This window comes from Homo sapiens, chromosome 12 (assembly GCF_000001405.40).
Source record: "Homo sapiens chromosome 12, GRCh38.p14 Primary Assembly".
Taxonomy (NCBI): Eukaryota; Metazoa; Chordata; class Mammalia; order Primates; family Hominidae; genus Homo; species Homo sapiens.
The window spans coordinates 58,327,242-58,339,285 of NC_000012.12; the positions used below are offsets into that span (position 1 = coordinate 58,327,242).

General features: G+C 41.7%; 1 protein-coding gene across 2 annotated transcripts, besides 2 other annotated features; it reads right to left on the bottom strand.

Moving 5' to 3' along the window:
• Positions 222 to 736: an enhancer, noted in NCBI's record as "OCT4-NANOG-H3K27ac hESC enhancer chr12:58721246-58721760 (GRCh37/hg19 assembly coordinates)". NCBI's record gives its function as "activates a minimal SCP1, AML or CMV promoter by ChIP-STARR-seq in naive H9 embryonic stem cells {active_cell/tissue: H9 hESC(naive)}" and the evidence as "EXISTENCE:reporter gene assay evidence [ECO:0000049][PMID:30033119]".
• On the bottom strand, positions 1,140 to 9,799 carry LOC105369787 (endogenous retrovirus group K member 21 Env polyprotein). 2 transcript variants are annotated; one of them, XM_047429956.1, is made up of 3 exons: positions 9,729 to 9,799; positions 8,599 to 8,675; positions 1,140 to 3,253 (listed from the first exon to the last, which is right to left on the bottom strand). In XM_047429956.1, exon 3 carries the CDS (start codon positions 3,234 to 3,236, stop codon positions 1,140 to 1,142), a length of 2,097 nt encoding a protein of 698 aa, XP_047285912.1. In that variant the 5' UTR covers positions 3,237 to 3,253; positions 8,599 to 8,675; positions 9,729 to 9,799. The 2 variants fall into 2 exon arrangements, with proteins under 2 accessions (XP_047285912.1, XP_047285911.1); XM_047429955.1 differs by lacking the exon at positions 9,729 to 9,799 and adding an exon at positions 9,346 to 9,387.
• Positions 10,414 to 10,493: an enhancer, noted in NCBI's record as "active region_6567". NCBI's record gives its function as "activates an Ori minimal core promoter by ATAC-STARR-seq in GM12878 lymphoblastoid cells {active_cell/tissue: GM12878}" and the evidence as "EXISTENCE:reporter gene assay evidence [ECO:0000049][PMID:35858748]".

Here is a 12,044-nt window from a genome sequence, read left to right on the forward strand (position 1 = left end):
CAAGCAAGCAAGCAAGAAAGCAAGCAGACTAATTACCAGAAACTTCTCTTGAAGTCACCTATCCTCTATCACTGCTTTATCTGTTTTCTTTATAGCAAGGTTTATTGGAAAGGTTTTCTATACTCAGTCTCCACTTTGTTACCTTCTAGTCACTTTTCAGCCCACTCCAGTCTGACCCCTGTCACTCTAGTAAAACTACCTTTTTCATGGTTACCAATGTAGGGGTGGGTTGCCCCTACACACCTGTGGGTGTTTCTCGTAAGGTGGGACGAGAGATTTGGAAAAGAAAAAGACACAGAGACAAAGTATAGAGAAAGAAATAAGGGGACCCGGGGAACCAGCGTTCAGCATATGGAGGATCCCGCCAGCCTCTGAGTTCCCTTAGTATTTATTGATCATCTGTGGGTGTTTCTCGAAGAGGGGGATGTGTCAGGGTCACAAGACAATTGTGGGGAGAGGGTCAGCAGACAAACATGTGAACAAAGGTCTTTGCATCATAGACAATGTAAAGGATTAAGTGCTGTGCTTTTAGATATGCATACACATAAACATCTCAATGCTTTACAAAGCAGTATTGCTGCCCGCAGGTCCCACCTCCAGCCCTAAGGCGGTTTTTCCCTATCTCAGTAGATGGAGCATACAATCGGGTTTTATACCGAGACATTCCATTGCCCAGGGACAGGCAGGAGACAGATGCCTTCCTCTTGTCTCAACTGCAAGAGGCATTCCTTCCTCTTTTACTAATCCTCCTCAGCACAGACCCTTTACGGGTGTCGGGCTGGGGGACGGTCAGGTCTTTCCCTTCCCACGAGGCCATATTTCAGACTATCACATGGGGAGAAACCTTGGACAATACCTGGCTTTCCTAGGCAGAGGTCCCTGCGGCCTTCCGCAGTTTTTGTGTCCCTGGGTACTTGAGATTAGGGAGTGGTGATGACTCTTAAGGAGCATGCTGCCTTCAAGCATCTGTTTAACAAAGCACATCTTGCACCGCCCTTAATCCATTTAACTCTGAGTTGACACAGCACATGTTTCAGAGAGCACGGGGTTGGGGGTAAGGTTATAGATTAACAGAATCTCAAGGCAGAAGAATTTTTCTTAGTACATAACAAAATGGAGTCTCCTATGTCTACTTCTTTCTACACAGACACAGTAACAATCTGATCTCTCTTGCTTTTCCCCACATTTCCCCCTTTTCTTTTCGACAAAACCACCATCGTCATCATGGCCCGTTCTCGATGGTCGCTGTCTCTTCGGAGCTGTTGGGTACACCTGCAGACTAACAACAGACAAAACAGGCACACAAGGATTAATATGAGATTTATAATCGTAGTACTTCCAATGGTCTTAACCCAAGTGACAGGGTTAAGATTTGCGAGGCCATCAGCAACTCCTGCAATTGCCTCAGTTCCTGGCACCAAATTTAAATGGGCTTTTGATGCTTCGAAAATTTGTTCTTTTAATTTGGAAATGTCTAAAGTGAGATTATCTTCTCTTCCCTGTAGATGGCGTCTAACCATGTCCCAGTGATGCTCAGACTCATTATAAATTTGGGGTGTAATACAAAAATCTGACGTATTCCAGTCACACTGTAACTGGAAACGATGTTCTAAGCTCATGAGCCTGTCTCCCATCCAAATGACAGTTTGTCTAAGATCATTAATTTGATTTGCCAATTTTTGATCAATACTAGATTGTGAATTCCACAATCTTGTAGAATTTTTTTGCCAATCATTAACAAAGTTTACTGACTGAACAAAAGAGTGCAATGCAACTCCTGCTACAGCAGCCATAGCTGTGACTGCAATTAATCCCATAATCACTGCAATTAAAGTAAAAATGAATCTTTTGGATCTATTTAAAACACCTTTTAATACTTCAGTCAAAATATGGATGGATGGCGAGGCCTCCCACGGTCGGTCCATGGACACAGGGATCCACACGCCCTCTCTTGCTCTCACCAGCAGAATACGGTGTTGCCAATTAAAAGTTGAATCAATGCAAGTAAGCAATCTACAATTTTCACAGGTTATAGTTTGAGAGTCTGGTTTAATAACTATATTTCCTACAACTAGCATATAAGGGGGCTTTACGCAACTTTGTAAAGGAACTGTTAGACTGGAATTTAGGTCAACAGTATAAAATGGCTTACGATCTCTTGTTTCTAAAGTTTGATTTCCAGACCAAATTCTAATGTGGTGTGAGGCCACAGTAAGCCTCCATAATTCTGGATGTTCAGGACCAGAAACAGGACTTATTATTTTTGGTCTTGGGGTAGAGATTCCTTTTTCTCCCCATTCCCAAGGGTAGAAAGACTGCAATTTTTTATGCTTATGTTTGTCTAAACTTTCTGTTAAGTCACTATCAACAGCTGGACTCACTTGTGCACTTGGACACGACTGAGTTTGTCCTGAGCAATTGTGGTAGAATTGACCTCGAGGTGCCCAATCTATAATAGTTCCAAATTCATTGTTTTGTAATATCACCACACTATTGGCCACACATTCTTCCCAAACTAAAACTTCTGTATTTTTTGATTCTTTGGGAATTTCCTTGGGGCAAGGTTTCCCTTTAGGTCTAAATTTTAATGATCTTTGATAAGAAAAGTCTTGTAAATAATTTACCCGTGGCCTGAGTGACATCCCGCTTACCATGTTATAAGTGAATCTACTGATGGGACTGACAGTAGGTACTTCTACCAACCAATTTTGGACTGCAGGCATTAAACATCCTGGTGCTCTCCCTAGGCAAATAGGAGGATAATGATACCCAATGGAGATATTTATCATCATCCCTTCTTCCTCAGGTTTGGCAGGGCAGCGATCATCTATGGGGCCATGTACCCATACACTATCATTAACATATACTTCTATAGGATTATCCATCCATGTGACTGCCCGAATTAAGGGCGGGAAAGGCACATAGGCCCAGTTGGTATAGTTAGCTGCAGCTGCTCCTGCAGGCATAGGGAGACTTACCACCATTGATACAATCATCAAGGCTGCAAGCAGCATACTCTCTGGGGTTTGTGTCACCTTTGTGTTCTCTAGATATTTTGTAGCTAACTGCGTCAGCTTCTTTAGTTGTGCCCAAGTCGGCGGCTCTGCCTTCTTGGTGGATGGCAACTTCATCTGTTCTGATGTCACCATTTTGTTCATCTTGTGAGTCAACGGTGCTCGATTGCGGTGTCTCCGTCTCCGCGGAGGTGCTTTTCTTTGCATCTCCGATGGGTGCATTGTAGAACTTCAAATGTCTAGTGGGTATCCAAACAGGAAGCTGATTTTCTCCTGGTGAAACACAAGCAAAACCTCTCCCCCACGTTATCACCTTCCCTATTTCCCATGTCTTATTTTTATTATCTTTCCACCAAATTAGTTTTCCTTCATGTGGGCTGTTCTTTTTACCAGTAAGATGTTGTTCTGCAGAAGTAGTAGTCTGATTTCCATAAATGTTTAAAAAATTTAAAGTATAGAGTGCTAGATTAAGTTGCATCTGAGGAGTGGTACACTCCTTACTGTCTCCCCCTTCTTTTTGTTTAACTAATTGGGTTTTGAGTGTTCTATTAGTTCTTTCAACTATGGCCTGTCCTTGGGAATTATAAGGAATTCCTGTTGTATGTGAAATTTTCCACTGACTTAAGAATTTTTGGAAAGCTTTACTACAATATCCTGGTCCATTGTCAGTTTTGATTTTTTCTGGAACTCCCATTACAGCAAAACAAGACAATAAATGTTTTTTAACATGGGAAGTACTTTCTCCTGTTTGGCAAGTTGCCCATATGAAATGTAAATAAGTATCAACTGTTACGTGAACATATGATAATCTTCCAAATGAAGGTACATGCGTGACATCCATTTGCCATAACGCATTAGGACACAGACCTCTGGGATTAACTCCTGCCTCTTGAGTGGGCAGGTGTAAGACTTGACACTGGGTGCAATGTTGTACAATATCTTTTGCCTGTTTCCATGTGACATCAAATTTGTTTTTTAATCCTGCTGCATTTACATGAGTCAAAGCATGAAGTTCTTGTGCTTTTATGAGTGCAGATGATGCCAGTAAGTCAACTTGTTCATTTGCTTTAGTCAAAGGCCCTGGTAAATTAGTGTGTGCTCGAATATGAGTAATATAAAATGGGAAATTTCTTTTTCTTACAGTTTGTTGTAATAAATTGAATAGCTGGTTTAACTGATCATCCATGCTATATTTAATTAGAGCTGTCTCAACATCCCTTGTAGCTTGTACTACATATGCAGAATCTGATATAATACTGATAGGTTGGTCAAAATCTTGTAACACTGTAATGACTGCAACCAACTCTGCTCTTTGAGCCGATTGATATGGAGTTTTGATTACTCGTTCTTTCGGCCCTGTGTAAGCTGCTTTTCCATTGCTGGAACCATCAGTAAATACTGTTAGAGCATTTTCTAAAGGTTCACGTCTGGTAATTTTAGGTAGAATCCAAGTAGTCAATTTTAAGAACTGGAAGATCTTTGTTTTTGGGTAATGATTATCAATAATTCCCACAAAATTAGCAAGACCAATCTGCCATGCACCAGAATTGATAAAGGCTTGTCTAACTTGTTCCTTGGTTAAAGGGACAACTATTTTGTCTGGGTCATTTCCACATAATTTTATTATTCGTAATCTTGTCTGACCAATTAATGTAGCTATTTGATCCAAGTACAATGTAAAAGTCTTAACTGTACTGTGAGGAAGGAATGACCACTCCACAAGATCAGTATTTTGAATAATGATGCCTGTTGGAGAATGTGCAGTGGCAAAAATCAAAAGTTGGATGGGGCTAAGGGATCTATTCTATTTATTTGCGCTGACTGAATTTTTTCTTCCACTAATTTAATTTCTTTTGTTGCCTCTGGGGTTAACTATTTAAGTCTGAGTCTCCTCTTAAGATAGAGAACAAATTTGACATGGCATAAGTAGGAATGCCTAGAGTTGGCCGAATCCAATTAATATCTCCTAGTAATTTTTGAAAATCATTTAGTGTTTTTAATGTGTCTTTTCTTATTTCTATTTTTTGTGGCTAATTTTTCTATTTTCTATCTGTATCCCTAAATAATGAAAAGGAGTAGAGGTTTGGATCTTATCAGATGCTATTGCCAGTCCTGCATTGGCAACCTCTGCTTGCAGAAATGTATAACAGTCAATTAATTTATCTTTCGTTTCTGCAGCACATAAAATATCATCAATATAATGAATAATATAACAGTCTGAAAACTTTTCTCTAACTGGTTGAAGAGCTCGACCTACAAAAGTCTGACAAATAGTTGGACTATTAAGCATTCCCTGAGGTAACACTTTCCACTGAAACCTGGTGGCTGGTTCTTTATTATTTATGGCTGGTATAGTAAAGGCAAATTTTTCACAATCCTGCTCTGCCAGAGGGATGGTAAAAAAGCAATCCTTTAGATCAATTATAATTAAAGGCCAATCTTTTGGGATCATGGCCGGAGAGGGCAACCCAGGTTGGAGAGGCCCCATGGGTTGAATTATGGCGTTTACAGCCCTTAAGTCAGTTAACATACGCCATTTGCCTGATTTCTTCTGAATTACAAACACAGGAAAATTCCAAGGTGAGAACGAAGGCTCAATATGACCCTTTTCTAACTGTTCATTTGCTAATAAATGTAAAGCCTCCAGTTTTTGTTTTGGTAGCGGCCACTGATTTACCCACACCAGTTTTTCTGTTTTCCAAGTTAATGGTATGGGTTTAGGAGGCTCTAGAGTGGCCGCCCCTAAAAAGGATACCCTATTCCTTCTCTTTTTTGATTTATTTTAGCCTCAACTGGAACTTTAATGCCATCTTCATTTTTCCCTAGTCCCTTTCCTGGTATATATCCCATCTTGGTCATGATTTTTTGACTCGTGGGGCTATATAATGGAGTGGGCATGGTGATTTCCGCACCCCATTGTTGTAATAAATCTCGACCCCACAGATTAAGAGGAATTGAAGTAATCATTGGCTGAACAGTACTTTCTTGATTATCTGGCCCTAAGCAATGTAAAATCTCAGTACTTTGATACACTTCTGAGGCTGTGCCTATGCCGACAAGTCCTGTAACAGCCTTTTGTTTAGGCCAATTTTTTGGCCACTGATTTAAAGCAATGATAGAGACATCTGCTCCAGTGTCTACCAACCCTTCAAACTGTTTTCCTTGAATAATGGCCTTACACACAGGTCTGTTCTCTGAGACCTGACTTGCCCAATATGCAGCCTTTCCTGTTGGATCAGTGCTTCCAAGCCCTCCTATTATTTTTATTTCACTATTTCCACCCTTAATATATGGCAGGAGTAATAATTGAGCAATCCTGTCTCCTGGACTGGCACTCCAAGGAATTGAAGAGCTAATAACCAATTGAATTTCGCCTTTATAGTCTGAATCAACCACACTAGTATGAATTTGAACTCCTTTTAGATTTAGACTTGATCTTCCCAAGATTAGTCCTACAGTCCCCTCAGGCAGGGGGCCATATACCCCTGTGGGGATTTTTTGTGGGGGCTCCCCTGGAAGCAGAGAGACTGCTTGTATAGTACATAAATCTACTGCTGCACTGCCGCTTGTGGTGGGGGACAATTGTTGTATTGTGGTAACTGGCTTATTCCCTGAAACACTTGGGACAGTGGGGGTTGTTGTCCCTGAAAACCCTGAGGAACAAATGGCTGAATTGGGAATGCCCCAGTTTGTTGTGGGGCCTGAGGCTGGCCCCTTTGCTCGTTTCCCGACAATGGTTGCCCATTTTTATCAAATTTAGAACGACATTGACTAGCCCAATGTTTTCCTTTTTTACATCTTGGACATAAGTCAGGTGGCTCTCTACCTGTTGTAGTTGCTTGAATAGTTATATTCTGTTTGTTTAAGACTGGGCAATTCTTTTTTAAGTGACCAATTTGACCACAATTGTAACATTTTCCTCCAAATGTTCTAACTTGTCCTCCTAAAACAACTCCTGTTATTGCTTGAGCCATAAGCATAGCTTTATGCATAGCTCCTCCGATTCCATCACAGGCTTTTACATATTCTGAGATTACATCTGATCCTGCAGGAACCTTTCCTTTTAATGGCTTAATGGCTGATTGACACTCAGGATTGGCGTTTTCATATGCCATCAACTCCACTATGACCTTACGGGCTTTTTCATCGGCAATTGACTTTTGAGCAACATCTTGGAGCCTTGCCACAAAATCAGGATAGGGCTCTTTTGAACTTTGTCTTACTGTATTAAATGAGGGGCAGGTACTTCCTGGGTCTTGGATTTTTTCCCAGGCTCTAAGGCAGATAGCTCTAACTTGCTCAATGGCCTCATTTTGCATTAATGCTTGTTGACTAATAGTACTCCAATTTTGACCTATTCCTAATAGTTGATCTGCATCTATGTTAACTGGAGGATTGGCAGCCCTATTTCTTTGGACCTGTTCTTGTACCCCATCAATCCACCAAGTCTTAAATTGTAAAAATTGAGAGGGTAAGAGAGACGATTTTGCCAGAATCTCCCAATCATAAGGAATGAGTCTATGTCCATGAGCAATGGAATCTAATAATGTCCTCATATAAGGGGAGTTGGGTCCATACTGTTTTACTCCTTCTTTCATATCTTTTAGCATTTTTATTGAAAAAGACTTGTATCTGGCCTCAACTGTGGGAGGCTCTCCCTCTTGGGCTCCTTCTCCAGGTGGCATCGGTTCTAACATTACTGGGAATTGCCATGCCTCAGTATCTCCTTCCTTTCTTGATTTATCAATAATTTCATGTAATTCACTACCCTGTCTACTAGGTGGTGCCGTAGGATTAAGTCTCCTAGTGGGCGGCTGAGGGTATGGCGCCCTGCCCTGTGGTGCTGGGGGCATTCCTGGATATCCATACTGACTTTCTGGGGGTGGCCGATACTGAAGTTCAGCCGGCGGCCAGTATTGATAAGCTACTGGTGGTTGGGTCTTATTTTCTTTAACCTGCGTTTGAGGTTGTAATGTTACGGGCACCTGACCTGCTGGAAGAGGACTTGTGCCTCGTGGTTTAGACTCTGATGGCCCCACTAATTCTGGACCTTTTCCTTCTAATTTTAACGTTTCAGGATATATCACCTCCTGTAATTGATTATAGTCAACATTTTGCGTTGACTGAGCCATTACCGGCTCTGCTGCATATTCGCAATGTAAACCTTCCGTTTCTTTCTGGGATTTTTTCCTTGTGTTTTCATTACAATCTATTATACAGCTTCCAGGGGCATCAGAAACTGAAATGCTATCTTCTTCTGTTTGAAATGGTTCTAAAGCTGCTTTAATAATGGCCCAATCATTCCATACTGTAAGTGGAATGATATTACCCTTCCTACCTGCTTGTTTTAGTTCCTTACCAATTCTTTTCCAATCTTTTAGATCTAAAGTTCCTTGTTCTGGAAACCATGGGCAAAATTGTTCTATTATTTGAAATAGCTTGATTAGATTTTTTGTAGATACTTTAACTCCCCCTCTTTTTAAAAGAATTTTAATAAAGCTGAGATAAGAGGCATATTTACTTTTAATTTTACTTTTAGTTTGCCCCATTATCACCCTAGCTTCTTCCGAGAGCACAAGCTTACCGTAAGGCTGACTGTAGACGTCCTCGGGATCTCTCGTCGACTTGTCCTCAATGACCACGCTCGAGCGTACCTTCACCCTAGAGAAAAGCCTCCACGTTGGGCACCAGATGTAGGGGTGGGTTGCCCCTACACACCTGTGGGTGTTTCTCGTAAGGTGGGACGAGAGATTTGGAAAAGAAAAAGACACAGAGACAAAGTATAGAGAAAGAAATAAGGGGACCCGGGGAACCAGCATTCAGCATATGGAGGATCCCGCCAGCCTCTGAGTTCCCTTAGTATTTATTGATCATCTGTGGGTGTTTCTCGAAGAGGGGGATGTGTCAGGGTCACAAGACAATTGTGGGGAGAGGGTCAGCAGACAAACATGTGAACAAAGGTCTTTGCATCATAGACAATGTAAAGGATTAAGTGCTGTGCTTTTAGATATGCATACACATAAACATCTCAATGCTTTACAAAGCAGTATTGCTGCCCGCAGGTCCCACCTCCAGCCCTAAGGCGGTTTTTCCCTATCTCAGTAGATGGAGCATACAGTCAGGTTTTATACCGAGACATTCCATTGCCCAGGGACAGGCAGGAGACAGATGCCTTCCTCTTGTCTCAACTGCAAGAGGCATTCCTTCCTCTTTTACTAATCCTCCTCAGCACAGACCCTTTACGGGTGTCGGGCTGGGGGACGGTCAGGTCTTTCCCTTCCCACGAGGCCATATTTCAGACTATCACATGGGGAGAAACCTTGGACAATACCTGGCTTTCCTAGGCAGAGGTCCCTGTGGCCTTCCGCAGTTTTTGTGTCCCTGGGTACTTGAGATTAGGGAGTGGTGATGACTCTTAAGGAGCATGCTGCCTTCAAGCATCTGTTTAACAAAGCACATCTTGCACCGCCCTTAATCCATTTAACTCTGAGTTGACACAGCACATGTTTCAGAGAGCACGGGGTTGGGGGTAAGGTTATAGATTAACAGAATCTCAAGGCAGAAGAATTTTTCTTAGTACATAACAAAATGGAGTCTCCTATGTCTACTTCTTTCTACACAGACACAGTAACAATCTGATCTCTCTTGCTTTTCCCCACATACCAACAATCTCCATGTTGCCAAAACCAGTGGCCACTTCCTTGTCCTCCCTACCTTGACCTCTCACCAGTGGTCAGCACGTTCCTTTGGTTTTCCTTTTTCCTCTCTTACTGCTCCTTTCAGCTTTTTTTTTTTTTTTTGCTACCTCTTCTACTAGACTTTGGAATGTTGGAAGGTTTCCAAGCTCAGTCCAGAGACTTCTTCTCTTTCGTCACTTTTTATCTGACTAACTGTACTCAGTCCCATGACTTTAAATATCCTTTACAGGCTGATGAGTATTTTTTAAATATCTTTAATGACTCCCCTGGACTCCAGACTTCTGTAGCCAACAGTGTACTTTCAATCTCTACTTGGATATTATAGCTAAACACAGTCAGCTCTCTTCTCAGTATCCACTTTTCCGTACTAGAACCATGAGATTGTTTGGGATAGCAATAGGCATAGCTAAGAACAATATTTTCTAGACTCTCTTCCAGCTATGGGTAGCCATGGGAGATGCCAACCAAAATCTTCTGGAGCTTTCTGGAAATTGTTTAACCTTGATAAAGACACACATCATTACTGATATGGTTTGGCTGTGTCCCCACCGAAATCTCATCTTGAACTATAGCTCCCATAATCCCCACCTATTATGGAAGGGACCTGGTGGGAGGTAATTGAATCATGTGGGTGGGTTTTTCCCATGCTGTCCTCATGATAGTGAATAAGTCTCATGAGATCTGACGGTTTTGCAAGGGACTTTCCCCACTGTTGCTCTGCGCTTCTTGTTGATGCCATGTGAAGAAGGATGTGTTTGCTTCCTCTTCCGCCATGATTGTAAGTTTCCTGAGGCCTCCCCAGCCATGCTGAACTATGAGTCAATTAAACCTTTTTCCTTTATAAATTGCCCAATCTTTGGCATGTCTTTATTAGCAGCATGAGAACAGACTAATACACTTCCTCATTTTGCTTCTTTCTTATTCCTGCCTGAAACTTGGACCAGAAGTTGGAGATAGAACACATATTGTAATCATGGGGCAGCTGTAGAATGAAAGCCATTATTTTTTTGGTGCTTGAGCAGGAAGAAAAAGGGATCCTTGAGTAGCTCTATCAACCATGATGTGGTTACATCTTCCTGTTTTTTTTTTTGTTTTTTGTTTTTGCCATATGAGAAAAATAAATGCCTTACTGATTAGGCCCTTGCTACCAAGTTTCTGCAGGTAGTTCCTATCCATGAGAGATATAGGTATAAAACAGGCATAAAAAATAATATGTCTAATAAGGAACTCTCTTGATTTTCCCCTGTCCACTGACCAAATTCTTTTTCAGGTCATCCCCATTTCAGTAAGAGGTTTCACCATCTTCCAGACTGCTCAAGTCAAAAGCCTAGATGTCAACCTTGGTTCTTCTCTTTCCCTTCTTCCCTCTTCTATCAAAATCACCAGCATGTCCTGCATGTTCTGCTTCCAAAATACACCTCTAGACTGTTCACTTCTCTCACTCTTGGGGCCACCCCCAAAAGTCCAGCCTATGTCTTTGCTACAGGCTTCTCCTGATCATCTCCCTGCTTCTTTCCTTACCCCTCCCTCCAGTATCCATTCTTCTCATAGCTACCAGTGAGCTTTAAAAAATATAAATTACATCACTTAACTTGCTTACCAGAACTATTTGCCCAAACCTAAAATAATTTAGTGAGTTTCTGTTGCAATTAAAATAAAGGGTAGAAAAGGGCTGACAGTCTGTCCCTGCCTGCTCTACTGAGGTGGCCCACCACTCTCCCTCTCTCTTTCCCTGTGTGCCTGCCATGTCAGCCTTCTTTCTGTCTTTGAATGTGCGTGTGAATGATTTTTCTCCTCAGGACAAATGCTCTTGCTGTTCCCTCTGCCTGATACCTCCAGGTTGACCCATCCTCATAATTTAAGTCTCAGCTCAAACGTTACCGGAAAGAGGTCCCAATTCAGACTCCAGAGAGGGTTCTTGGATCTCATGCAAAAAAGAATTTGAGGTGAGCCCATAGAGTAAATTGAAAGCAAGTTTATTAAGAAAGTAAAGGAATACAAGAATAGCCATTCCATAGGCAGAGCAGCTCAGAGGGCTGCTGGTTGCCTATTTTTATGGTTATTTCTTGATTATATGCTAAATTAGGGGTGGATTATTCATGCCTCCTCTTTTTAGAACGGATAGGGTAACTTCCCGATGTTGCCATGGCATTTGTAAACTGTCATGGCACTGGTGGGAGTGTAGCAGTAAGAACGACCAGAGGTCACTCTCATTGCCATCTTGGTTTTGGCCGGTTTCTTTACTGCAAACTGTTTTATCAGCAAGGTCTTTATGACCTGTATTTTGTACCGCTCTTCTAGTTCATCCTGTGACTTAGAATGCCTAACCATC